At 42.1% G+C, this 27,080-nt stretch overlaps 1 protein-coding gene and 1 long non-coding RNA gene across 3 annotated transcripts in view, besides 2 other annotated features; one reads left to right on the top strand and one right to left on the bottom strand.

Annotated features, from left to right (window-relative positions):
• Positions 1,907 to 2,107: a silencer, noted in NCBI's record as "peak2123 fragment used in MPRA reporter construct". NCBI's record gives its function as "represses an SCP1 promoter by STARR-seq MPRAs in K562 erythroleukemia cells {active_cell/tissue: K562}" and the evidence as "EXISTENCE:reporter gene assay evidence [ECO:0000049][PMID:32103011]".
• CMA1 (chymase 1) lies at positions 6,952 to 9,864 on the top strand. Of its 2 annotated transcripts, NM_001836.5 has the most exons (5): positions 6,952 to 7,039; positions 7,711 to 7,861; positions 8,613 to 8,748; positions 8,935 to 9,189; positions 9,558 to 9,864. In NM_001836.5, exons 1-5 carry the CDS (start codon positions 6,982 to 6,984, stop codon positions 9,699 to 9,701), a joined length of 744 nt encoding a protein of 247 aa, NP_001827.1. In that variant the 5' UTR covers positions 6,952 to 6,981; the 3' UTR covers positions 9,702 to 9,864. The 2 variants fall into 2 exon arrangements, with proteins under 2 accessions (NP_001827.1, NP_001295012.1); NM_001308083.2 differs by lacking the exon at positions 7,711 to 7,861.
• Positions 7,144 to 8,343: an enhancer, noted in NCBI's record as "BRD4-independent group 4 enhancer chr14:24976080-24977279 (GRCh37/hg19 assembly coordinates)". NCBI's record gives its function as "activates an origin of replication core promoter dependent on BRD2, P300/CBP, MED14 and CDK7 cofactors, and independent of BRD4, by STARR-seq in HCT116 cells {active_cell/tissue: HCT116}" and the evidence as "EXISTENCE:reporter gene assay evidence [ECO:0000049][PMID:35650434]".
• Positions 9,865 to 13,019: 3,155 nt separating the features above from the next.
• Positions 13,020 to 27,080, bottom strand: part of LOC101927045 (uncharacterized) — a 59,245-nt gene continuing 45,184 nt past the window's right edge. Inside the window, exon 3 of the long non-coding RNA NR_110032.1 lies at positions 13,020 to 13,657. This is a non-coding gene — a long non-coding RNA (uncharacterized LOC101927045). The remainder of the gene's footprint in view (positions 13,658 to 27,080) is intronic.

Below are 27,080 nucleotides of genomic sequence, written 5' to 3'. Positions count from 1 at the left end.
ATTAAATGAGAAGATACATGTAAAGTCCTAGCAGTGCCAAACACATTGTAAATTCACCCTTTATTTTTGGTGAAAGAATCCAGACATAATAAGCCAAATATTATATAATTCCATTTATGTCCAGAATAGGCAAAATACATAGAGACAAAGTAGATTATTTGTTGCCAGGGGTTGTGGGGAGGTGGACAATGGAAGTGACTACTCATGAATACAGGTTTCTTTATGGGGTGATGAAAATGTCCTAGATTAAATAGTGTTGATGGTTGCACAACCTTGTAAGTTTGCTAAAGGCACTGAATTGTATATTTTCAAAGGGTAATTTTATGGTATGTGAATTATGTTTCAATAAAAATATAGAAAGAAAGAAAAATTTTGAAAAAATAAATTCTCCCTTTTTCCTTCCTCCTCTCACCACCACATTCCTTTCTTCTGATTATTAGAATTGAAAGAAGGGCTGATACCTAGATCAGGGTCTGGCAAACTATGGTCTGCAGGCCAAATCAGCCTCCCACTTCCCTTTGTAAATGAAGTTTTACTGCAACATGTTCACATCCAGGGTTTACAAATTGTCTATGGTTGCTTTTGTGTTACACAGCAGAGTTGAATAGTTGCCACAGAGACCATTTGGCTCTCAAAGTTGAAAGTACTTCCTACCTGGTGATTGACAGAAAAGTTCCCTAATCCCTGCTTAGAATGGGTGCTACAGCACCTAAAACTCCCCCCTCCATGCATGCTACTACCTACTTCTAGAGAGCTTTTCTGAGTGACAAGTGTGCATCCCTCTTCCTAGGACTCTTGAGAACTCACCACAACTTCTACACTCCCAGAGCAGAGAGTAGAGTCATGAGAATTTCTGATGAGGAAGATAACCATGCCAGCATGAAAGACAGAAATGAGATCAGGTGGTTTCTGTGGCTTCAAGCCATCCCCTTTCTTCTACTTCTAGGGCTATAAAAGCGGGGCCCAGTGAAGGGGTGACAGAACTAGCCATGGTCAGTATGGGCAATGTCGCAGGGAAAATGCAGGCCCTGATCATTTTGCTGGTCTTCCTCTTGCCTCCTGAAGCCACATCTGGTGAGTCTAGGGTGTAACTTCCTGTCCTGTAAGTCCTCAGCCCCTATTCCAAAATCATTAACCTGGGTCAGAGAAGAGCCTAAAATAATGCTGCAGGATATCTTTGCATATGTTCCAAAGGGAGAGCTATACCTAGAAGAGTCATATACTTTCCACAGTTGATGACAGTGTCCCAGGGACAAGAAGAGTAGGGTGGAGAAAGAATCAGAAACTGGCTTTGGAAGTTTCCCTTAACCTGCTTTGCTCAAAATGCCCCCAATTCTTATCCATGGCCCTTCTCTCATATTGAAGAGGGCAGGATAAGGACATGATGAAATGTCTAAAGGAAATGACAAATCAAGCTGGTTAGAAAAAATTTTTTTCACTCTTATGTATGTATGTTATGATTCTCAATTTTAAAAAAATTAACATGGACCATAACCAGAGAGAAGCCATTTTTTTCTGTAGCCAGGTCATACAGAAGACCTGTGCTCCTGACCAGACTTTAGGGATGCACTTAGGTGATGGGGTATGCCCAAAAAGTCCCCTTAAAAACACACATTGAAGGCCTGTTTGTGTGGCTGCCATTTCTACTGCCCACTGACCCATTCCCTGAGCAGCCAGTGCCACTTCCTTACTTCAGTCATTAACTGATAGTGAAATATTGATTTCTCCACCTTTGGTAATATTAAAGATCACTAAAGGGAATGTTTGAAATTCTGAAAAAGAACTTCAAGTTTCAGGGGGGAAAAAAGGTTGGGGGAGAGGAGTTTCCTAACAGGGATCCCAGTTAATACATAATCAATATGCAATTTATTAATACATCTCTCCATGTCCACTCCCCCTGTATCTTGCCATTCTTGACCTGCATTTCCATCCTCCTTACCTTCCCTAGAGGCCAACTCATTTTCTTTGAAAAACCTGGCATTTCCCAGAAAAAAAAGTGAAGGGCTGGGAGCTGTCCGTTGTCCTGATTTGCTCCCTCTGCCCTTGCTTCCAAATGTGGTTGGAAAGAAGCACTATTGAAAAATCCCTAAACGACCCCTGCAGGGTTGGCTCTACCCTGTAGCCATGGACACATGCTGTTGATACCACCTGCCTCATGAGTCTCACATAATTTGCCCTTTCACACTATCTACCCCATCAGCCTTACCAAAACCATACCTGCATCCTGGGCAGCATCTGCCCTTCAAGAGACTAAGGAATCTCCTTGCAACCAAGAATGACTAGACCAATGAGACACCCTTTAAGGCCCCAGCACAATATAGAAATCCCACAATATGGTAATCCCAGTAAGGAGCTATCAAGCCATTGCAGGACCATCTAGAATACAACTAGAGTATAGTTCCTTTCAATCCAGGAACTATACTCTAACAGCTTGGCTCACAGGAACCAGAAGTGAAGATGATGAGGATCAGGGCTGAGCCTGTGAGCACCAGCTCCACCACTGACACCAACCACAGATTAAACAAGCATCTTGTGGACCCCTGGGATGGAAAGAATAGTTGTTGCCTTATCAACCTCCCCCACAGCCCACACAGAAAAGATAAAATCATCATGGCTACAGTGTTACAGAAGATGATGACCCAAGGAGTAGGCCTGCCTGAGTGAAGCTGAGAGTGATAATGGGAGCAGTAGCATCTCAGAGACTACAGCAGAAACCATCCACATAAAGAGCTTTGCCCAAACTTATGATAAAGGGCACCCTCAGAGACTCTCCCTACTTTAATATTAGCCCATTGCAGAAATGGTGAGTGGAAAGAGAAATCTTAGGAAGAACCCCTTAAAAAAGCAAAATGTTTTTAGGTTTGTGCTGAAGAGCCTGGAAAAGAAATAAGGACACACACGCTGAGAAATCTTCCTCCTGCCCCAACACTGGGAATAATCTCCAAGGATCTCTACATATCTCATTCTCCTGGATACACTGTCCACTCAGAAATATTGTGCAGAGTGCAGTAATTCAAAAGTGAGCTATTGTGTTAGGAGTGAAGGCAAGAGTATCGTAAAATAAATCAATTTGAAAGTAATTCTCTTAAATTGCTTTATAGATGTTTAATGTAAGCCAGCAGCTATTAAACATAAACCTTAAATTCAGAAAAACTTGGTCATTCAGAAACTATAGAAACAGGCAGGACTTATTGCGAGGGCAAACACAGAGTGAGCTCCAGCCTGCTTCAGGAAAATCTGCCAGTGCCATGAAGGATGTACTCTGTCTGCTCCACTGCACTACTGCTCAGTATGAGCCCATGCCATCAGCTGTCCCTGACCCACAGGAGTTCTTTAGAAGAGACTGCAACAAAAGTTTCTAGGTGTTTTATACCTGCCAACTCGAGGGTTAAAACAAGTTGCATAGAAATGCTCAATCAAGAAAGACACAGTCATTACTCAGAGAATAATAAACAGCCTGGCAGCACATGAATGAATAGAAAAAAGATGTTACATGCAAAGCATGAAATAACCAAATTCCATAACAGATGTTAATCTGTAATGTGTTTAGGAGAATTTAGAGGAAGTATAAGATTTATTCTTTCATCAAAAAAATTATAGCCAATGAGGATATATCTATCAATTATCCATCAAGTGGTGATATGGCAGCACAAGGTAAAACACAAAGGAATAAAACCAACGTTTATTAAGAACCAATCATGTGGCATTTCACATTGAGCATCATATTTAATTCTGAAAAAAATCCTTGTACTGTATCATTCTTCATATTTTATGGATGCAGTAACTAAGGCTGAGAACTTTAAAATTTTTCCTAAGTTCAGACACATAGCTAAGTGGCAGAACCAAGATTCAAACTCACCCCATCTAACTGCAGAGCAAACTGCATGCCTTAAATGTCAAAGTGAATACTAGCACAGTTAATACAATGTTTGGAAACTCAGAGAAGGAATGATCCCTCTGCATTATAGTTACTAAGGAATCATTGCCATTATTTAAATGCCAGTGCTTCTACATCAGGCCCAAATTTTCTGTCCTACTAACTGTGAATCAAGACTTGATTCAACCTCTACTTGAGTATCTGCCGCAATGAGAAATCACTTACCTCCACTAACCACACATTTATTTTATAACAACAGATTGTTAGTAAGTCCTTTCTTATACATACTCAACAGCTGCTTCCCAAGATGCTGTAGGATTATGTCTAGAGTCAAACTAGCCAGAAGCAATGTCCAAAATACACCATAACACTGTGCAGCAAAGGTCCTACTACCACTTGTTTGGCCCAAACATTCTAGGCAGCACTGGATATCTGAATCATCAATTATTTCCACAAACCCTGACCCCTCTACCAGTCACCCTCACTAGAAGAATTAATTCCACATGATAATAGCTCCCTCATGTTACTCCCTTCTAAGTCAAATTGTACACCCCTTTATCTGATTAACAGAGTCTAAGTCACATGACCTAAATGCAAGAGAAACTGGGAATGGAAGTTTGTGGATTCTACCTTAGTAAGGCAAAGTTATCATTGGGAATTCCTCTAATACAGGAAGGGTGTTCCAGAGACATTAAGGAGCCATATAAATGGAAAATGTCCACTACAATCCATCACTTGGTTGCCCCACATCAACATTCATTCTTTTGCCACACTTAAAGTTTCCAAGAACAAAAATTATCCCACTGAACATAATCTTTACCATCTTTTATATAAAGGAAAATTAGACTTGACTCAGCAGAACTGAAATAACCCAGTCTCAACAGTTACTGCTTTTAACTTCAAGTACTGTGTCTCTAGGTGATACCTGCTCCAACAATAGTTTGGTCACATTTTCAATTTGATATTCTCTAGTCTCCCAACTTGATAACTGTACCCTAAACCATAAAGTTCACTACCAACATGCTATATATAAAATAACCAAAGGGGGAAGAAGAAAGAGAAAAAGGAAATCTCTTAAAATACACAGGTATACATATGACAAAGCAAAGAAGGAAATGTGAGCAGATAGCGCAGTCCTCGTTTCTGAAATTGGTCCCCTGACTGGGGCTATACCTATTCCATTTCCTCACCCTCAGCCAGGCAGGTGGAGCAAAACTTAAGTCTTGGTGGATCTGAATCTTGATGCTGTGGAGCTGTCTTACTAGCCCCAGACTACCTGCCTCTCAATTTCTAATTATATCAGTGAAAGCAAACAGCTTTGATTTGTTTAAGCCTCTGATTTTTTGGTCTAACTGATGTAAGACCACAAGACAAGAGTTCTCCAGCTCCGGATTCTCTTCTGTTCTGTTAATGGTGAAATGCCCAGAGAAGAGTTGCCAACTTTGGCAAATAAAAAATACAGGATTCCAGTTAAATTCAAATTTTAGATAAACAACAATTTTTTAGTATTAGTGTGTCCCATTCAATATTTGGACATACTTAACTAAAAAATGATTTGTTGTTCATCTGAAATACAAATTTAACTGGGCATTCTGAATATTCTCTGGCAACCCCCGAGAGAGTGAAGAAAGTGGTACAAGGACACTTAAGAAGACCAGATTTGAAAAGACATTACGGATGTGTTTAAATGTCTTATTCTAGAGAGAGTTAGAGCTGTAGGTAGAACTTGGGAAATTAAGTTAAAAGCAACAGAGGACCTGGCCAATATATACTAAGGAGTGGATCACTCTGGTCACAAGCCCAACCTGAGACCAAGGGCATAGTGAGATGATTTGGGAAAGGCACTTATACACTACTCATCCCCGTCTTTGAACTAAATGCCTTATAAATCTCCAAGAGAAATGACAGTCCACCATGTGGACTGCTTTCTGTAAGTCCAGGGAAAATAAAAGCTATGTGCTTGAAACCCACTTCTGATATTATAAGGTGTGTGATCTTTGTCATGTTAATGGGTCTGAGTATCAATTCTACAATTGTAAAGTGACAGTAATGGTGTGTCCCCAGGTTGTTGTGGAAAGCTTGATTCTTAATGCAACAGTAGGAAACCCCAACCTCTCTGGAGCAAACACCCTTCTACATCTTTACTTCCCCTGCACATTGGCAGGACTCTATTCCTCTATTTCTCTCTAGTGCTAGAGCAGAAAGGGACCTTGATTTGATATCAGGAAAATCTATTTCTGAACCATAAGCTATGATAGCTGATTTAAAAAATTGACTATCATGACATGATAATGATCATAATGGTAATACATATTGATAGGGTTGCCGTGAAAGTAATAATATATCTAAGAGTTGTGACAATATATGATACACCTAGACTCTCAGAAAATGCTAATTCCAATCCCAATTGCTCTTTGCATAAAGTTCTGTCCTAGGGTCTGTTCTTTTCCCACATCTACCCTCCTTGGATCTCTCTTCTGTCAAAAACATGTGGTTCAGAGGAGGAGAGAGATCCAGGTCAATGTTTTTCAAATTACAAGGAATTATCATTTAAATGGGGTTGTTGCTCAAGTTTTGACGTGTAGTGGAATGGAGTGGAGTGGAGTGGAATGGAAACTAACAGAAAACACTGCACATGGTTAAGATAAAGATTGTTTCCTGAAACCTTTAATTTGTGCTTACATACTCACACATACATATGTGCATGCACTGGGACTCTGCAATATGCATTTCTGACTATGGAACATAGCCATAAAAGTCTTTGCACTGAACGTTCAGTGGGCCTTTCACAAGCTGCCCTAATTGGGAAAGAAAAACATGGTCCCTCCATTTCCTGCCCCCAACTCCAGAAAAGTCACCATAGTTGAGGGTACATCTGAGAAGCCAGCACTTGGGAGTTCAGGGCTCAAGTTCCTTTCTAGAAAAACACTGGGTGATTCTAGGGGAACTTCTGATCAGAAACAGCCAATTCAGAGTGAGAGAAGAAAACGTGACCATGCAGTTCCTGTGGTTACCAGCCTTGCCCCTCTCTTGCCTTCTGGGAGTTATAAAACCCAAGACTGGAAAGGAAAACCAGCATTTGCTCAGGCAGCCTCTCTGGGAAGATGCTGCTTCTTCCTCTCCCCCTGCTGCTCTTTCTCTTGTGCTCCAGAGCTGAAGCTGGTGAGTATCAGGGTTCTTCCCTCTGAAATCTGCAGTATCAGCTCCTGAAACAAAGATGTTTAGTCTGAAAATAGCTGACTCCTAAACAGGGTTCCAAGATCTCTCTTCAAGAGTCCCAGAGGGAAATTTCCACTTGGGATGTGTGCCACCCCACCCCCACCCCCACCCACTGCCATTCTCTACAGCCTAGGACAGCCCCCAGGAACAAGGAATTTCACCTCAATTGTAGAAAAGCCCAGAGCAAGTGGAAGGAAAAGGGGTATCCCCAGGAAAACAGACATGTCCTCTTAATCTTCTGAGCATCAGGGCTACCCATTACTTTGTGACTTTCTCACTCTGTGACCATGCTCAAGAGCTATGGAGAAATCTAAAACAGGAACCTGGACAGTGGGTCCTACACAGAGACAGAGGAGGGTGGGCCAGGGCAAGGTGGGAGTGGGAGAAGTCTGAGATGAAAACATCAGAATGGAGCAGAGGCAAGAATGAGATTTCACCTGGGAGGTTATGGGTGGGGAAAGATACGAAATACAGGAGACAGGAGAGGGAAGATGGGCGGAACACAGGGTGAGAATGAGATTCCAGGGAAGCCTAGCTCAGCTTTAACCCAATTTGTCCATTCATTGGAGAGAGTATCTATGGCCGTGTTCAAACCCTGGGGTGCTCTGTTCCAGGGGAGATCATCGGGGGCACAGAATGCAAGCCACATTCCCGCCCCTACATGGCCTACCTGGAAATTGTAACTTCCAACGGTCCCTCAAAATTTTGTGGTGGTTTCCTTATAAGACGGAACTTTGTGCTGACGGCTGCTCATTGTGCAGGAAGGTGAGACAACAGGGTCTATTTATCTCCAAATGGGAGATGAACAACCAGAGTAGCATCCAGGAATACACCTGCACTGGGGACTGAAGAGGGGGTCCTGGGTCTTGTCAACTTTCAGGAGAGGGAAGACTTGGGCTGAAAGACTTTAGTCTGTGTTTGAATAGTTCCTTGAGCCTCAGTCACTGTGAGCTAAGCTCCCCTTCGGAGGAAAAGGAGGTCCTGTCCAAGGTCCCTCTTGTTGCAGTAGCACCCCTCACCCCTACCCAACTCAAGACACACGGCTCACTTTTCAGGGCCCCACCCAGTCTCAGGGCCACTTCCTCTATGGCCTTTTCAAGAACACTGGCCTCTAGTTCTCAGGGTCCTGAACCCATCATTTTATGGGAGGCAGAGAACAGGGTCTACATGAGACCCCCACTTTCCCGTTTAACTGATATCTCCTGCTTCAGGGGCTGGCCCTCATGCAGGGTTCCCTGAATTAGGAAGTGTGAACCCTGTCCCCTGAGTCCTCCCTGGCCTGTTCAGTCCCCAGCAATTCCAGGGGTCGTAGAAATTGTGTCTGTTTCCTGAGAAAGCTCTTTCATGAGTTAAGCCTGAGCCCTCAAATGCCACAAGTGGCCCATGAAAAGGGAGATGGGTAGAGTCCGGCGACCCAGTGACAGAGTTTAGTCCTCTTTTCTCAGAATGAGCTCACCTCAGAAGAAACCCCAAGCCATCACTGTCGCTCCTTTTCCTTCCTTCTTCCTCACAACAGGTCTATAACAGTCACCCTTGGAGCCCATAACATAACAGAGGAAGAAGACACATGGCAGAAGCTTGAGGTTATAAAGCAATTCCGTCATCCAAAATATAACACTTCTACTCTTCACCACGATATCATGTTACTAAAGGTGACAACACCTCTCTTCTCCCTTTCCACTTCCCATTCTCCTAAGCTTCTCCTTCAGGTCCTCATTGCCCTGAATTTTTCTTAGGACTTGGCTATAACATGAAGCTACTCACCCTGTCCCTCCCTGATCACCTCCAACTGTCCAGAGCCCATTTCGAGGACTGACAGTCCTTCATTCCCTTCACAGTTGAAGGAGAAAGCCAGCCTGACCCTGGCTGTGGGGACACTCCCCTTCCCATCCCAATTCAACTTTGTCCCACCTGGGAGAATGTGCCGGGTGGCTGGCTGGGGAAGAACAGGTGTGTTGAAGCCGGGCTCAGACACTCTGCAAGAGGTGAAGCTGAGACTCATGGATCCCCAGGCCTGCAGCCACTTCAGAGACTTTGACCACAATCTTCAGCTGTGTGTGGGCAATCCCAGGAAGACAAAATCTGCATTTAAGGTGATCCTCCAACTAGGTTTCCTCTCCAAAACTCACTGTTCAGGGACCAGAATGCTCTTAGAAGGAGATGGGGTCAGAAGGTTGTCAGTCAGTGACAGGGTGAGCATCACAGGAATTGCTGTCCTCCCGTGGTCCAAGACAGCCTCTGACCATCCATTCCAGTCTACTGCACTGGGGGCATGGGGTGATGTGGAGAATGTGGATGACGGTCCCAAGAAAGGAAGAAGGGGCATCAGAACTAGATGTATAAGTGAGGAGCTCCACCTCCTGCGTCTGACTTTAGGTCTCACTGTGACTCCAAGCTGGCTGGCAGACAGGAGTGGAGGACTTCCCGGGCTCACCTTCTTCTCTCTCTCCTCCCCCTACAGGGAGACTCTGGGGGCCCTCTTCTGTGTGCTGGGGTGGCCCAGGGCATCGTATCCTATGGACGGTCGGATGCAAAGCCCCCTGCTGTCTTCACCCGAATCTCCCATTACCGGCCCTGGATCAACCAGATCCTGCAGGCAAATTAATCCTGGATCCTGAGCCAGCCTGAAAGGGAAGCTGGAACTGGACCTGAGCAGCAAAGTGTGTGCCACTCATTCTGGTCTACCCTTGGTCCCTCAGCCACAACCCTAAGCCTCCAGAAGTATCCTACAGGTCACAGAACTCTCAATAAACCTCAGTGAAGACACAGCTTCTAGTCGTGAGTGTGTGTCCCCTCTCTGCTGCTCTCTTCTCCCTGCACATAGTGACCTGATTCCCAGCCCAAGCACCCAAGGATTTGGAAGGGGTTTGTGTGTGTGTGTGTGTGTGTGTGTGTGTGTGTGTGTGTGTGTATGGGGGGGGAGGGAGAGAGAGAGAGAGAGAGAGAAATAGAGAGGAATTAATGAAGAAAAAAAAATGAGGAAAAAGAAGAGATTTTCCCTGGAAAGGCAGGATCCATATTTCCAGCTTAAGAAAAGACACCAAATCCTTCTTTGCCTTAATCATCAACCCTATACCAATTCTGATTTATCTTTAGTAATATTCAGAAGCACTAAGAACATTTTCAATTATAAGCAAGATATAAGATGTTTACAGCATCCCTGGCCTCTTCCTACTAGATGCCAGAAGCAACACCCCCTTCTCCACCGCAAAGTTGTGACAACCAAAATGTCTCCAGGCATTGCTAAATGTCCCCAGGCGAGGGAGGGAGGAGGAAAGAAAGATCACTGTCTTTCGTTGAAGACCACTGGCTCTCTTTCGTTGAAGACCATGGTTTAGATACATGATATAAAGAAGGCAGCTGATGCCACACAGGGCCCTCCTCATAGCCCACATCGATAAGAAAAGATCTTCCCTCTGTGAAGCTTTCATCTGATATGCAGAGAAGACTGCCTCCCACTCACTCATTGTTACCAAACAGATACTGAGAGCAGATTAGAGGAGAGACAGCACTACAAGGTCTGCATGAGCAACACCCATCCACAAATGGCTTCACCCAAACCAGCAGGAAGACCAAAACCTAGAGCTTGCTCAACACAAACCCTTGTCATGGGAGACTGACTGGAGGAGAGAAAACAGGGCAGGAAAGGGACAGGACAGCCAGAGCCTGAGGCTGGCAACACCCATCATTTCTGAGGGTGTACTGAACACCTTTGGCCAAGTGAACTATTGCTGGGAGTTTATCTTTAAGAAAGAATCAAAGACACACAAAAAGATTCATGCATAAAAATTTTAATCTCAGCATTTTTATTTATGCTTTTACTTTTTATAATTTATTCCTATATATTTCATCTTCCAAATAATTTCTGCTTTGCATTTAATATATCAAAGGTATTAAAAAAGTGATTTATTATACACACACACATATATACATATGAAATTTCTATCATAGTCTTAGATATCAGAAAAATTTTTTAATGCACTGTATGACTTGATTTTTTTTTTCAGAAACATGAAACCATACCAAAGTGAGAACTTTTGACTTCATTTCAGCTCTGGTTTCTAGTTTCAAGTCTTCTACCAGCTATATGACTTAAAGATACTACTTGATATGTTCAGTTACTTCATCTGAAAAATTGACATGCATTTTAACCTGAAATACAGGAGCTCAATATTTTTCTACAAAAAGGACAATTGCTGTCTATAAATTCAACATTCTTTTCTTGGTTATCTTTTTTTTTTATCATACTTTAAGTATTAGGGTACATGTGCACAACGTGCAGGTTTGTTACATACGTATACATGTGCCATGTTGGTGTGCTGCACCCATTAACTCTTCATTTAACATTAGGTATATCTCCTAATGGTATCCCTACCCCCCCCCAACCCCACAACAGGCCCTGGTGTGTGATGTTCCCCTTCCTGTGTTCATGTGTTCTCATTGTTCAATTCCCACCTATGAGTGAGAACATGCGGTGTTTGGTTTTTTGTCCTTGTGATAGTTTGAATCTCAGCATTTTCAATAACAAAAATCTGGAATCCCAGACATGGAGAAAAGCTTCTATGATAAACTTGTATGACTGAATATTCTGAATTCATGAAAATTTGTGTTAAAAACATTTAGTATGGAAAAATTCAAGAAAATTCAATATATTCAATATAATGTAATGCTTTTACAAAGCAATATGAAAATCTTCCTATAGTAGAATCTCACTTTTGTAGCTATATATTTTATATATGCACAGGAAAAAATTGGAAGTAATTACATCAAAATAATTATGGGGGTTATGTCTACAGGATGGGATTAATAGCTATTCTGATTTTGTCTTTATGCTGGCTCCAAGCCCCATCCATGTATTCTAACTATTGAGGACGCAGCACTACTCATGGCTCCACCAGTGGATAAGCACATATAACCATCTTCAGAATTCCATTGCTCAGGGTTTTCTGCATGGGAACAAAGCATCCTTCCATTTCCAGGTCGCGTCACTCAGCCCATTCAGGAAGCTACCAGAGAAGCTAAGCCCTACAGGTTCCCTCAGGTTAGTGAGCAGTCTTTCCTGGCAATTGGTGTCAATGGCCAATTGCAATCTCCTGAAAATCTCCACTGCCACAGCTGATCCCAGAGTCCTAATTGATATTTTGCATCTCACTTCCACCACCCACTCTAGGTGTCCCCCAACAACCATCTAGCAGTTCAGTAAGTCTGTGCTGTAGTCTGATGGAGTGACCCAGACCTCTACCCCGAGGGGACTGAGTTGTTAGATGCTTTGCATTTGTTAGGTTTGGGTTGTTGTAACTGCCCATTTACAATCATCAGTGAGCACAAAAGTATGGGGGATACTTCCAGCAAATCCCGTGGGTTGCAGTCATACTCTTATCTTCTCCCATTGCATTGCAGCAACCCTAGCTTCTCATGGTAATCAAGGCCAATTATTCTAGCCATAAGGCAACTCTTTCCTTTGCCTGCTGGTCCACTGTTATGAGGAGCCCCAAACAGCTGAGTGATAGTCACAACTTCCAGTTCACTGGAGCCTTTCCCACCTCCACTGGAGAAAGCATTTACTTCCTGGAAACTTAGACCTCTAAACTGGCAGAATTTAAGTTTGCAGGAACAGTAAGATACAAATTCCACAAGTAAGTCCCTGGGAGTGATAACTGAAGGGATCAATTCTACTTCTATCCCTTGGTTCCTGGACTCATATATTCTAGTTATGTGGGGACACTGAACCATAGATTGGTATTGATTCAGCATATGTATCACATCCTGGAAAGCAGTGCTCCAACTTCCAACCCTACAGGGTGTCATCTCTGAGCTGGCACCTTAGCTGAGCTTTCAACAGGCCAGCTCATCATTCCACTAGGTTGACTGCTTCTGGGTGGCATGGTATATAATAAGACCAATGAGCCCATCATTTTACATTCTTTGCCATAAAATGAGTCCTTTACTCTGAGCTAATGTGTGTGAGAAGCAGGTTGATGGATTGGGAAATCTGTAAGCCCTCATATGGTGGTAGTGGCAGAGGAATTTCAGGCAGAGAAGGAAAACTCATGTCTAGAGCAAGTATCAATGGTGATAAGGATGAATGTCCATCCCCTCCAAAGCAGAGGGGTCAACCTCTCACTGGATGGCTGCCTGATCTCTCCAAGAGCAGTGCCATCTCAAAGACTCAGCGATAGTCTCTGCTGTTGGCAAGTTAGGTGATTAACAGTGGCAAGACCCGAATTGATTTTGGTGAAAGAGAGTGTCCATGTTCTTGGACCCATTCATGGCATCTATTCAACCTCCATGACCACTCTACTCTGACCATGGCCCATTGTTCCAGCAGCGAGGTGATCAAGAAGAGAATATGGTTGACATCCACAAGCCATATCACCCCTTTACTTGGTTGGGAGTCTCTGTGAGTCCATGTGGTCCAGTGCTCAGGTACAGCAACTTCTTCTTAGCCAGCAGCACTGTGCAAGTGGAGCTCTTGGTCTGTGGTGGCAGCAGCAGTGGCAGCAGTGAGCAGGGATTTGTGACCATGAGAACAGAGTGAGTTGTCACCAGAGCCACTCCAACCTAAAAGCAAAGCAAGCAGTCAATGCAAGTGGAATCCAGGGAAGCTGGAGTGGTGTATAAACTGGACCAGGTGCACTGGTCCTTACCCAGAGATGTAGTTGGGACTCTCCATAAACAAGCTCACCTTTGTTCTGCTGATAATTAGATCATTCTGAGCAAAGGTATATTGTCAACAGTGGACCTAATTATGTATGTAAATGTCATCTATTAGAGTGAGTAAAGGAGGGGGTTGAGGAGGTAACACCAATGTGGATGAGAAAATAAAAACTACCCACCTGAAGGCCAGAAACAAGTGAATCTGAACAGTGCAAGGAATGGATTTTAGTAGACATTGTTGATGCCCTTCCCAGGACCTCTTAAGCAGGTGATGTACCCATTCCCCAGCTGTTGTGAGTGATAGCCACTAACCAATATCCATGGCCATGAGCTAACATGTATCCTTTCCCTGCGCCACTTCTCTCCACACAAAATAGATGTCCAAATTGATTTTTGACAAGGCTGCCAAGGACACACAATAGGGCAAGGACAGTCTATTCAATAGATGGTGTTGGGAAAACTGGATGTTCACATGCAAAAGAATGAAATTAGACCCTTGTCTCACACCATATACAAAAATCAACTCAAAATGGACTAAAGACTTAAATATAAAACCTGAAATTCTAAAACTACTAGAAGAAAACATAGGTGAAAACTCCATGACATTGCTCTGGGCAATGAATTGTTGGATATTATCCCAAAAACACAGGCAACAAAGCAAAAATAGACAAATAGGATTGCATCTAACTAAAAGTCTTCTGCACAACCAAGGAAACAATCAACAGAGTGAAGAAACAATCAATAGAATGGGAGAAAATATTTGCAAATCACACATCTAATAAGGGTTTAATATTCAAAACAAATAAAGAAGTCAACTCAATAGCAAGAAAGCAAATAACCCAATTTTAAAATGGGCAAAGAACCTAATAGACCTCTCTCAAAAAATACAAATAGCCAATAGGTATATGAAAAAATGCTCAACATCACTGATCACCATGGAAATGCAAATTAAACAACAATGAGATATCACCTATTAGAATGGCAATTATCAAAAAATAAAAGATAACTGATAGTGAAGATGTAGAGAAGAGAACACTTGTACACTGTTGATGGCAATGTAAATTAGTATAGTTGATGGCAATGTAAATTATGAAAAAAAGTATGGAGCTTTACCCAAAAATTAAAAATACAATTGCCATATGATCAAGCAATCCCACTACTGGATATATATTTAAAGGAACTGAAATCAGTATGTCAAAGAGATATCTGCACTCCCGTGTTTATGCGTAATAACTAAGATATGGAATCAACCTAGGTGTCCATCACTGGATGAATGGATAAAGAACACATACATACACACACACACACACACACACACAAACACACACAGAGTGGAATACTATTATCCATCCTTAAAAAGAAGAAATGTTGTCATTTGCAACAACATGGATGAGCCAGGAGGACATTATGCTAAGTGAAATAAACCAGGCACACAAAGAGAAATACTGCATGATCTCGGTCATATACTCTTAAAAGCCAAACTCATAGAAATAAGTAGAATGGTGGTTACCAGAGCCTGGGGTAAGGGAGAGGTACAGGAGGAGATGACCTTCCTGGTTCTGAAGTCCTTCTACTGCTTTCACAATCATGCTACTCCAAAGGCGCAAACATCAAGGGGCCTCCAACAGCTCCCTCCCTGCTTGCCTCAGAGCTTGGGAATCCCAACTCCAAATCTAGTTATAAGTACAATATAGTGCGAATTGAAGAAAAAAGAATATTCAAAAATGTACACATACTTTGATTGCAACAGTATGGAAAACTATATATTTTAGGGAAAAGCGGAAAGAATCCTTCAAAAATAGAGGTAATTTTCTCATAATTGTAACTTAAAGAATGGCTTTTTTATTTATTTATTCTAATTTTTTATTCTCCTTAAAATTGTTTTTGTTTTCACAAATCACAAAAAAAATGAAGAAACACAAAAATGCAGGAGGGCTTTCTCAAACATTTGCTTAGATGCTCAGCAAATGGTCTTATTTTCTGTTTTTCCCATACAGAGCACATTCCCCAGGAAGCAGGGAAACCACAGGACATGGTACCCCGTCGCCTGGGGCAGAAGATAGGGAGTGAGGAGGACATCCTCAGGATCATCCAGAGCCTGAGCTGGGAGGAACTACCTAGGAAAAGCTTTAAGGATGCCCTGAGGCCCGTGGCTGGGTCTGCCCTGTAGTGTGAACCCAAAGAAGACAACTTCCTCTTGGGCAAGGAGTGTGGAAAGAGCTGTTGGTGCCACACTGGCCTCTTCAACCAGCCCATCCATAAAAGACAATATCAGCCATCATTGCAGATTTGATTCAGTGATTCAGAGAGTGACACTGACCCTGTTAATGGAGGCTAGGTTCTGATAAGGGGAAGAAAAATGTTCCAGCATCTGCAGATTTAGCCCAGATATGAGGGGTTTTTTCTCCATGCCATGGGAAGGGACCTGCCCAACACAAACACTGGATAATTATAGTCCAAAACAGCCCAGTTTCCCTGGGTTCTGCAGAAAAGGCAGAGACAGAAGTAAGGAGGCCAAACAGGGACACCCCTGACTCCCGGCCCTGACCCTGACCCAAAGCTGAGCCTTCACCTAAGATACTGAAAGCTGTTCCCCTCCCTCCATTCCAATTCCCTTAACTACTTTGTACACTCACAATCCTACTTGATATAGAGCAAGGGGTAATAGAGAAACAGATTTCCCTTATATGTGTCAAATTATTCTAAAGTGATTATATGGTAAATGATAACCAAAAAGAAATTGAAAAGAGAAACAAAGAAGCCTTATCCTACTGTCAGAACTTGTATAGAGTACAGCTCCAGAATGTTCAGGAACATCTGATGCTTGTAAATATTGTGCTCTGACAGCTTCATAGCACTCCTCTCTCCACACACTGCCCAACAAACTTGAATTCTTCTCAGCCTCTGCCCCTCCCTAAGAAAAGTTCTTGCAAACATATACATTCTTATAAGCCAAGGTTTGTCTCTCCACGGCCATTTGATAGTCAAATCAACAATGATTTATCTAGTCCTCAACAACCTAGGTAAAGAGAGCTCAGCAAACCCATGGGTGAAGCAGAATAAAGTCAGGATGAAAACCTCTGTGTAAAGCAGGACATAGTGAGGGCCTGCAAACTGCACACCTGTAATTCACTGGTGTCATGGGAGAGGTCCAAAACGTGATATATGCACTCCTGACCTTCCCTGACAAGGGTTTCAACTCAATGGGTGAACTCATCATTTACCTGTGAAAAAGTCTTATGAGCAAAACATAATTAAAGGAAGGAAGTTAACAACAATAAAGGCCTATTTCAAGAGACCTATTGTACAACATGCTGGTTACGGTTAACAACAATGCATTTTAATAATTGAAAATCATGAAGAGAATAAATTTTAAGTGTTCTCACCATAAAAAAAGATAAGCATGTGAGACAATGAATATGTTCATTAGCTTGATTTAGTCATTCCACAATGCATATGTGTATCAAAACTTCATGTTGTACACTGTAAATATGTACAATTTGTATTTGTCAATTTAAAAATTAATATTGGCTGGGTGCAGTGGCTTATGCCTGTAATCCCAGCACTTTGGGAGGCTGAGGCTGGCAGATATCTTGAGGTCAGGAGTTTGAGACCAGCCTAGCCAACAAGGTGAAACCCTGTCTCCACTAAAAATACAAAACTTAGCTGGGCATGGTGTCGGGTGCCTGTGGTCCCAGCTACTTGGGAGGCCGAGGCATGAAAATTGCTTGAACCCGGGAGGTAGAGGCTGCAGTGAGCCAAGATTGTGCCACTGCACTCCAGCCTGGGCAAAAGGGTGAGATTCTGTCTCAAAAACAAATAAATAAATAAATATTAATAGTAATAAATAAATAAAACTGAAAAAATTAAAATTTGAAAAACTTTTTAAATTTTTTTTTCTTTTTTTATTATACTTTAAGTTCTAGGGTACATGTGCACGAGGTGCAGGTTTGTTACATATCTATACATGTGCCATGTTGGTGTGCTGCACCCATTAACTTGTCATTTACATTAGGCATATCTCGTAATGCTATCCCTCCCCACTCCCGTCACCCCATGACAGGCCCCAGTGTGTGATGTTCCCCTTCCTGTGTCCAAGTGTTCTCATTGTTCAATTCCCACCTATGAGTGAGAACATGCAGTGTTTGCTTTCCTGTCCTTGCGACAGTTTGCTCAGAATGATGGTTTCCAGATTCATCCATGTCCCTACAAAGGACATGAACTCATCCTTTTTTTATGGCTGCATAATATTCCATGGTGTGTATGTGCCACATTTTCTTAATCCAATCTATCATTGATGGACATCTGAGTTCGTTCCAAGTCTTTGCTACTGTGAATAGTGCTGCAATAAACATACGTGTGCATGTGTCTTTATAGCAGCATGATTTATAATCCTTTGGGTATATACCCAGTAATGGGATCGCTGGGTCAAATGGTATTTCTAGTTCTAGATTCCTGAGAAATCAACACACTGTCTTCCACAGTGGTTGAACTAGTTTACAGTCCCACCAACAGTGTAAAAGTGTTCCTATTTCTCCACATCCTCTCCAGCACCTGTTGTTTCCTAACTTTTTAATAATTGCCATTCTGACTGATGTGAGATGGTATCTCACTGTGGTTTTGATTTGCATTTCTTTGATGACCAGTGGTGATGAGCATTTTCTCATGTGTCTTTTGGCTGCATAAATGTCTTCTTTTGAGAAGTGTCTGTTCATATCCTTTGCCCACTTTTTAATGGGGTTGTTTGATTTTTTCTTGTAAATTTGTTTCAGTTCTTTATAGATTCTGGATATTAGCCCTTTGTCGGATGGGTAGATTGCAAAAATTTTCTCCCATACTGTAGGTTGCCTGTTCACTCTGATGGTAGTTTCTTTTGCTGTGCAGAAGCTCTTTAGTTTAATTAGAACCCATTTCTCAATTTTGGCTTCTGTTGCTGTTGCTTTTGGTGTTTTAGACATGAAGTCCTTGCCCATGCCTATGTCTGGAATGGTATTGCCTAGGTTTTCTTCTAGGGTTTTTATGGTTTTAGGTCTGACATTTAAGTCTTTAATCCATCTTGAATTAATTTTTGTATAAGGTGTAAGGAAGGGATCCAATTTCAGCTTTCTACCTATGGCTAGCCAGTTTCCCACCACCATTTACTAAATAGGGAATTATTTCCCCATTTCTTGTTTTTGTCAGGTTTGTCAAAGATCAGATGGTGGTAAATGTGTGGTATTATTTCTGAGGGCTCTGTTCTGTTCCATTGGTCTATATCTCTGTTTTGGTACCAGTACCATGCTGTTTTGGTTACTGTAGCCTTGTAGTATAGTTTGAAGTCAGGTAGCATGATGACTCCAGCTTTGTTCTTTTGGCTTAGGATTGTCTTGGCAATGCGGGCTCTTTTTTGTTTCCACATGAGTTTTAAAGTAGTTTTTTCCAATTCTGTGAAGAAAGTCATTGGTAGCTTGATGGGGATGGCATTGAATGCATAAATTACCTTGGGCAGTATGGCCACTTCCAAGATATTTATTCTTCCTATCCATGAGCATAGAATGTTCTTCCATTTATTTCTGTCCTCTTTGATTTCATTGAGCAGTGGTTTGCAATTCTCCTTGAAGAGGTCCTTCACATCCCTTGTAAGTTGGATTCCTAGGTATTTTATTCTCTTTGAAGCAATTGTGAATGGGAGTTCACTCATGATTTGGCTCTCTCTTTGTCTGTTATTGGTGTATAGGAATGCTTGTGATTTTTGCACATTGATTTTGTATGCTGAGACTTTGCTGAAGTTGCTTATCAGCTTAAGGAGATTTTGGGCTGAGACAATGGGGTTTTCTAGATATTCCACCATGTCATCTGCAAATAGGGACAATTTGACTTCCTCTTTTCCTAATTGAATACCCTTTATTTCTTTCTCCTGTCTGATTGCCCTGGCCAGAACTTCCAACACTATGTTGAATAGGAGTGGTGAGAGAGGGCATCCCTGTCTTGTGCCAGTTTTCAAAGGGAATGCTTTCAGTTTTTGCCCATTGAGTATGATATTTGCTGTGGGTTTGTCATAGATAGCTTTTATTATTTTGAGATACGTCCCATCAATACCTAATTTATTGAGAGTTTTTAGCATGAAGGTTGTTGAATTTTGTCAAAGGCCTTTTCTGCATCTATTGAGATAATCATGTGGTTTTTGTCATTGGTTCTGTTTATATGATGGATTATGTTTACTGATTTGTGTATGTTGAACCAGCCTTGCATCCTAGGGATGAAGCCCACTTGATCATGGTGGATCAGCTTTTTGATATGTTGCTGGATTCGGTTTGCCAGTATTTTATTGAGGATTTTTGCATCAATGTTCATCAGGGATATTGGTCTAAAATTCTCTTTTTTTGTTGTGTCTCTTCCAGGCTTTGGTATCAGGATGATGCTGGCCTCATAAAATGAGTTAAGGATTCCCTCTTTTTCTATTGATTGGAATGGTTTCAGAAGGAATGGTACCAGCTCCTCTTTGTACCTCTGTAGTATTCGGCTGTGATTCCATCTGGTCCTGGACTTTTTTTGGTTGGTAGGCTATTAATTATTGCTTCAATTTCAGAGCCTGTTATTGGTCTATTCAAGGATTCAACTTCTTCCTGGTTTAGTCTTGGGAGGGTGTATGTGTCCAGGAATTTATCCATTTCTTCTAGATTTTCTAGTTTATTTGCATAGAGGTGTTTATAGTATTCTCTGATGGTAGTTTGTATTTCTGTGGGATCGGTAGTGATATCCCCTTTATCATTTTTTATTGCATCTATTTGATTCTTCTCTCTTTTCTTCATTAGTCTTGCTAGTGGTCTATCAATTTTGTTGATCTTTTTCAAAAAACCAGCTCCTGGATTCATTGATTTTTTGATGGATTTTTTGTGTCTCTATCTCCTTCAGTTCTGCTCTGATCTTAGTTATTTCTTGCCTTCTGCTAGCTTTTGAATGTGTTTGCTCTTGCTTCTCTAGTTCTTTTAATTGTGATGTTAGGGTGTCAATTTTAGATCTTTCCTGCTTTCTCTTGTGGGCATTTAGTGCTATCAATTTCCCTCTACACACTGCTTTAAATGTGTCCCAGAGATTCTGGTATGTTGTGTCTTTGTTCTCATTGAACATCTTTATTTCTGCCTGCATTGCGTTATGTAACCAGCAGTCATTCAGGAGCAGGTTGTTCAGTTTCCATGTAGTTGAGCAGTTTTGAGTGAGTTTCTTAATCCTGAGTTCTAGTTTGATTGCACTGTGGTCTGAGAGACAGTTTGTTATAATTTCTGTTCTTTTACATTTGCTGAGGAGTGCTTTACTTCCAACTATGTGGTCAATTTTGGAATAAGTGTGATGTGGTGCTTAGAAGAATGTATATTCTGTTGATTTGGGGTGGAGAGTTCTGTAGATGTCTATTAGGTCCGCTTGGTGCAGAGCTGAGTTCAATTCCTGGATATCCTTGTTAACTTTCTGTCTCGTTGATCTGTCTAATGTTGACAGTGGGGTGTTAAAGTCTCCCATTATTCTTGTGGGGGAGTCTAAGTCTCTTTGTAGGTCTCTAAGGACTTGCTTTATGAATCTGGGTGCTCCCATGTTGGGTGCATATATATTTAGGATAGTTAGCTCTTCTTGTTGAATTGATCCCTTTACCATTAGGTAATGGCCTTCTTTGTCTCTTCTGATCTTTGTTGGTTTAAAGTCTGTTTCACCAGAGACTAGGATTGCAACCCCTGTTGTTTTTGTTTTCCATTTGCTTGGTAGATCATCCTCCATCCCTTTATTTTGAGCCTATGTGTGCCTCTGCACGTGAGATGGGTCTCCTGAATACAGCACACTGATGGGTCTTGACTCTTTACCAAATTTGCTAGTCTGTGTCTTTTAATTGGGGTATTTAGTCCATTTACATTTGAGGTTAATATTGTTATGTGTGAATTTGATCCTGTCATTATGATGTTAGCCGGTCATTTTGCTCGTTAGTTGATGCAGTTTCTTCCTAGCATTGATGATCTTTACAAATTGGCATGTTTTTGCAGTGGCTGATACCGGTTGTTCCTTTCCATGTTTACTGCTTCCTTCAGGAGCTCTTCTAAGGCAGGTCTGGTGGTGACAAAATCTCTCAGCATTTGCTTGTCTGTAAAGGATTTTATTCCTCCTTCACTTATGAAGCTTCGTTTAGCTGGATATGAAATTCTGGATTGAAGATTATTTTCTTTAAGAATGTTGAATATTGGCCCCCACTCTCTTCTGGCTTGTAGAGTTTCTGCTGAGAGATCCACTGTTAGTATGATGGGCTTCCCTTTGTGGGTAACACGACCTTTCTCTCTGGCTGCCCTTCACATTTTTTCCTTCATTTCAACTTTGGTGAATCTGACAATTATGTGTCTTGGAGTTGCTCTTCTTGAGGAGTATCTTTGTTGTGTTCTCTGTATTTCCTGAATTTGAATGTTAGCCTGCCTTGCTAGGTTGGGGAAGTTCTCCTGGATAATATCCTGCAGAGTGTTTTCCAACTTGGTTCCATTCTCCCCGTCACTTTCAGGTACACCAGTCAGACGGAGATTTGGTCTTGTCACATAGTCTCATATTTCTTGGAGGCTTTGTTCATTTCTTTTTACTCTTTTTTTCTCTAAGCTTCTCTTCTCACTTCATTTCATTCATTTGATCCTCAATCACTGATACCCTTTCTTCCACTTGATCAAATCGGCTACTGAAGCTTGTGCATGTGTCACATAGTTCTCATGCCATGGTTTTCAGCTCCATCAGGTCATTTAAGGTCTTCTTTATGCGGTTTATTCTAGTTAGGCATTCGTCTAATCTTTTTTCAAGGTTTTTATCTTCTTTGCAATGGGTTTGAACATCCTCCTTTAGCTCGGAGAAGTTTGTTATTACCGATCTTCTGAAGCCTTCTCTCAACTCATCAAAGGCATTCTCCATCCAGCTTTGTTCCATTGCTGGTGAGGAGCTACATTCCTTTGGAGGAGAAGAGGTGCTCCGATTTTTAGAATTTTCAGCTTTTCTGCTCTCGTTTCTCCCCGCTCTGTGGTTTTATCTACCTTTGGTCTTTGATGATGGTAACATACAGATGGGGTTTTGGTGTGGATGTCCTTTCTGTTTGTTAGTTTTCCTTCTAACAGTCAGGACCCTCAGTTGCAGGTCTGTTGGAGTTTGCTGGAGGTCCACTCCAGACCCTGTTTTCCTGTGTATCACCAGCAGAGGCTGCAGAATTGCAAATATTGCGGAACGGCAAATGTTGCTGCCTGATCCTTCCTCTGGAAGCTCCATCTCAGAGAGGCACCCAGCCATATCAGGTGTCAGTCGGCCCCAACTGGGAGGTGCCTCCCAGTTAGGCTACTCGGGGTCAGGGACCCACTTGAGGAGGCAGTCTGTCCATTCTCAGGTCTCAAACTCCGTGCTGGGAGAAGGACTACTCTCTTCAAAGCTGTCAGACAAGGACGTTTAAGTCTGCAGAAGTGTCTGCTGCCTTTTGTTCAGCTATGCGCTTCCCCCAGAGGTGGAGTCTACAGAGGCAGGCAGGCCTCCTCGAGCTGCCATGGGCTCCACCCAGTTCGAGCTTCCCAGCCACTTTGTTTACCTACTGAAGCCTCAGCAATGGCGGGCACCCCTCCCCCAGCCTCGCTGCCGACTTGCAGTTCGATCTCAGACTGCTGTGCTAGCAGTGAGCAAGTCTCTGTGGGTGTGGGACCCTCCAAGCCAGGCGTGGGATATAATCATCTGGTGTGCCGTTTGTTGAGACCATCAGAAAAGTGCAGTATTAGGGTGAGAGTGACCTGATTTTCCAGGTGCCGTCTGTTATGGCTTCCCTTGGCTAAGAAAGGGAATTCCCCGACCCCTTGCACTTACCGAGTGAGATGATGCCTCACCCTGTTTTGGCTCATGGTCCGTGGGCTGCACCCACTGTCCTGCACCCACTGTCTAACAAGCCCCAGTGAGATGAACCCTGTACCTCAGTTGAAAATTCAGAAATCACCAGTCTTCTGCATCGCTCATGCTGGGAGCTGTAGACTGGAGCTGTTCGTATTCTGCCATCTTGGAACCTCCCCCTTCAGCAGAGCTAAATTTTTTTAAAAGACTATTTTTTTTAAAGGCCATTGGATTAATTTTTTTTAAAGGCCATTCGACAGTCCCAATCTCCATGACCTCTCACAAGAGCTGCATGGGCCATATTAATCTTCACACTGATATTTTGTATTCACTCATATTTTTATAAATAAAGTAAGGCTAAGAGATGCTATAAAGCTTTGCCAAGGGCAAAAGCCAGGGCACCCAGGATTGGAACCCCATACATTGAATTATTGCCTACTGCATGCCTTAAATAGCAAAAAGAATGGTACAACTTGCAAGGGAGCTTAGGGAAAGGAAAAGCCCAAATGCTCCACAGTAGCTAAAGAAGATTGGAATCATAATCCCTTAGGGATGGACAGGACCATCAGGACTGGACATGATGCCCTCCTCCAGTGTTTCAGTACTCTTTATGATGTCCCCAACTGGTTGAAGATGCTGCCTGAACATCTCCAATGATGGAAACTCACTGCTTTTCCCAGGCACATATGTCCTGATGTCCTAAAGTAGCTGATTGTTAGTTCTGCTTATATAGATCTCACAGCTGCTTCCAAAATACCTTCGAATGCTAGACCTGATCCCATCGCTCCTCCTGTCTCCAGTAAAAAAATGTTCTGTCCCTAACAGGGAAGTTCATACACAACCAGAAGTCTGGTATCAAATCTCAGCTGAGCTTTCTTTTCTCAGAAGCATCATCCCTGGGTCTTCCACCCTTTTCCCAAGCTTCTAGTTTCTCTCACAATTTTAATGTGCTGTAGTTTGTCACCGTTACTTTGAAGTACTCAGGGCTGGCCAGACACAGTGGCTCACGCCTATAACCCCAGCACTTTGGGAGGCCAAGGCAAGTGGATCATCTGAGGTCAGGAGTTCGAGACCAGCCTGGTCAACACAGTGAAACCCCGTCTCTACGAAAAATACAAAAATTAGCTGGCCACGGTGTTGCATGCCTGTAATCCCAGCTGCTCAGGAGGCTGAGGCAGGAGAATCACTTGAACCCGGGAGGTGGAGGTTGAAGGGAGTTGAGATCGCCCCGCTGCACTCCAGCCCGGGCGACAGAGCAAGACTCCGTCTCAAAAAAATAAAATAAAATAAAGTACTTAGAGCTGGCTACAATGTTTGAGACAGCACAATCCAGCATCCTGCTCATTGAGCCTATCCTGCTCATTGAGCCTGTCCTGCACAAGGTTTTAAAAACATGGTTGCATCCATTTCTTCTAGATTTTCTAGTTTATTTGCGTAGAGGTGTTTGTAGTATTCTCTGATGGTAGTTTGTATTTCTGTGGGATCGGTGGTGATATCCCCTTTATCATTTTTTATTGTGTCTATTTGATTCTTCTCTCTTTTTTTCTTTATTAGTCTTGCTAGCGGTCTATCAATTTTGTTGATCCTTTCAAAAAACCAGCTCCTGGATTCATTGATTTTTTGAAGGGTTTTTTGCGTCTCTATTTCCTTCAGTTCTGCTCTGATTTTAGTTATTTCTTGCCTTCTGCTAGCTTTTGAATGTGTTTGCTCTTGCTTTTCTAGTTCTTTTAATTGTGATGTTAGGGTGTCAATTTTGGATCTTTCCTGCTTTCTCTTGTAGGCATTTAGTGCTATAAATTTCCCTCTACACACTGCTTTGAATGCATCCCAGAGATTCTGGTATGTGGTGTCTTTGTTCTCGTTGGTTTCAAAGAACATCTTTATTTCTGCCTTCATTTTGTTATGTACCCAGTAGTCATTCAGGAGCAGGTTGTTCAGTTTCCATGTAGTTGAGCGGCTTTGAGTGAGATTCTTAATCCTGAGTTCTAGTTTGATTGCACTGTGGTCTGAGAGATAGTTTGTTATAATTTCTGTTCTTTTACATTTGCTGAGGAGAGCTTTACTTCCAACTATGTGGTCAATTTTGGAATAGGTGTGGTGTGGTGCTGAAAAAAATGTATATTCTGTTGATTTGGGGTGGAGAGTTCTGTAGATGTCTATTAGGTCTGCTTGGTGCAGAGCTGAGTTCAATTCCTGGGTATCCTTGTTGACTTTCTGTCTCATTGATCTGTCTAATGTTGACAGTGGGGTGTTAAAGTCTCCCATTATTAATGTGTGGGAGTCTAAGTCTCTTTGTAGGTCACTCAGGACTTGCTTTATGAATCTGGGTGCTCCTGTATTGGGTGCATAAATATTTAGGATAGTTAGCTCCTCTTGTTGAATTGATCCCTTTACCATTATGTAATGGCCTTCTTTGTCTCTTTTAATCTTTGTTGGTTTAAAGTCTGTTTTATCAGAGACTAGGATTGCAACCCCTGCCTTTTTTTGTTTTCCATTGGCTTGGTAGATCTTCCTCCATCCTTTTATTTTGAGCCTATGTTTGTCTCTGCATGTGAGATGGGTTTCCTGAATACAGCACACTGATGGGTCTTGACTCTTTATCCAACTTGCCAGTCTGTGTCTTTTAATTGCAGAATTTAGTCCATTTATATTTAAAGTTAATATTGTTATGTGTGAATTTGATCCTGTCATTATGATGTTAGCTGGTGATTCTCCCAAGACTAAACCAGGAAGAAGTTGAATCTCTGAATAGACCAATAACAGGCTCTGAAATTGTGGCAATAATCAATAGTTTACCAACCAAAAAGAGTCCAGGACCAGATGGATTCACAGCCGAATTCTACCAGAGGTACAAGGAGGAACTGGTACCATTCCTTCTGAAACTATTCCAATCAATAGAAAAAGAGGGAATCCTCCCTAACTCATTTTATGAGGCCAGCATCATTCTGATACCAAAGCCGGGCAGAGACACAACCAAAAAAGAGAATTTTAGACCAATATCCTTGATGAACATTGATGCAAAAATCCTCAATAAAATACTGGCAAACCGAATCCAGCAGCACATCAAAAAGCTTATCCATCATGATCAAGTGGGCTTCATCCCTGGGATGCAAGGCTGGTTCAATATACGCAAATCAATAAATGTAATCCAGCATATAAACAGAGCCAAAGACAAAAACCACATGATTATCTCAATAGATGCAGAAAAAGCCTTTGACAAAATTCAACAACCCTTCATGCTAAAAACTCTCAATAAATTAGGTATTGATGGCACGTATTTCAAAATAATAAGAGCTATCTATGACAAACCCACAGCCAATATCATACTGAATGGGCAAAAACTGGAAGCATTCCCTTTGAAAACTGGCACAAGACAGGGATGCCCTCTCTCACCGCTCCTATTCAACATAGTGTTGGAAGTTCTGGCCAGGGCAATCAGGCAGGAGAAGGAAATAAAGGGTATTCAATTAGG

The sequence above is a fragment of the Homo sapiens genome, chromosome 14 (assembly GCF_000001405.40).
Source record: "Homo sapiens chromosome 14, GRCh38.p14 Primary Assembly".
NCBI classification, from domain to species: domain Eukaryota; kingdom Metazoa; phylum Chordata; class Mammalia; order Primates; family Hominidae; genus Homo; species Homo sapiens.
The sequence above is the reverse complement of the archived record's forward strand: the minus strand, read 5'-3'. Positions and strand labels throughout refer to the sequence as shown.

Bases quoted from the DNA above. Each gene is read 5' to 3' on its own strand.
- CMA1 (NM_001836.5), top strand. From the start codon at position 6,982: ATGCTGCTTCTTCCTCTCCCCCTGCTGCTCTTTCTCTTGTGCTCCAGA. The intron at 7,040-7,710 runs GTGAGTATCAGG...GCTCTGTTCCAG, and splicing joins GTGCTCCAGAGCTGAAGCTG to GGGAGATCATCGGGGGCACA. The intron at 7,862-8,612 runs GTGAGACAACAG...TCCTCACAACAG, and splicing joins GCTGCTCATTGTGCAGGAAG to GTCTATAACAGTCACCCTTG.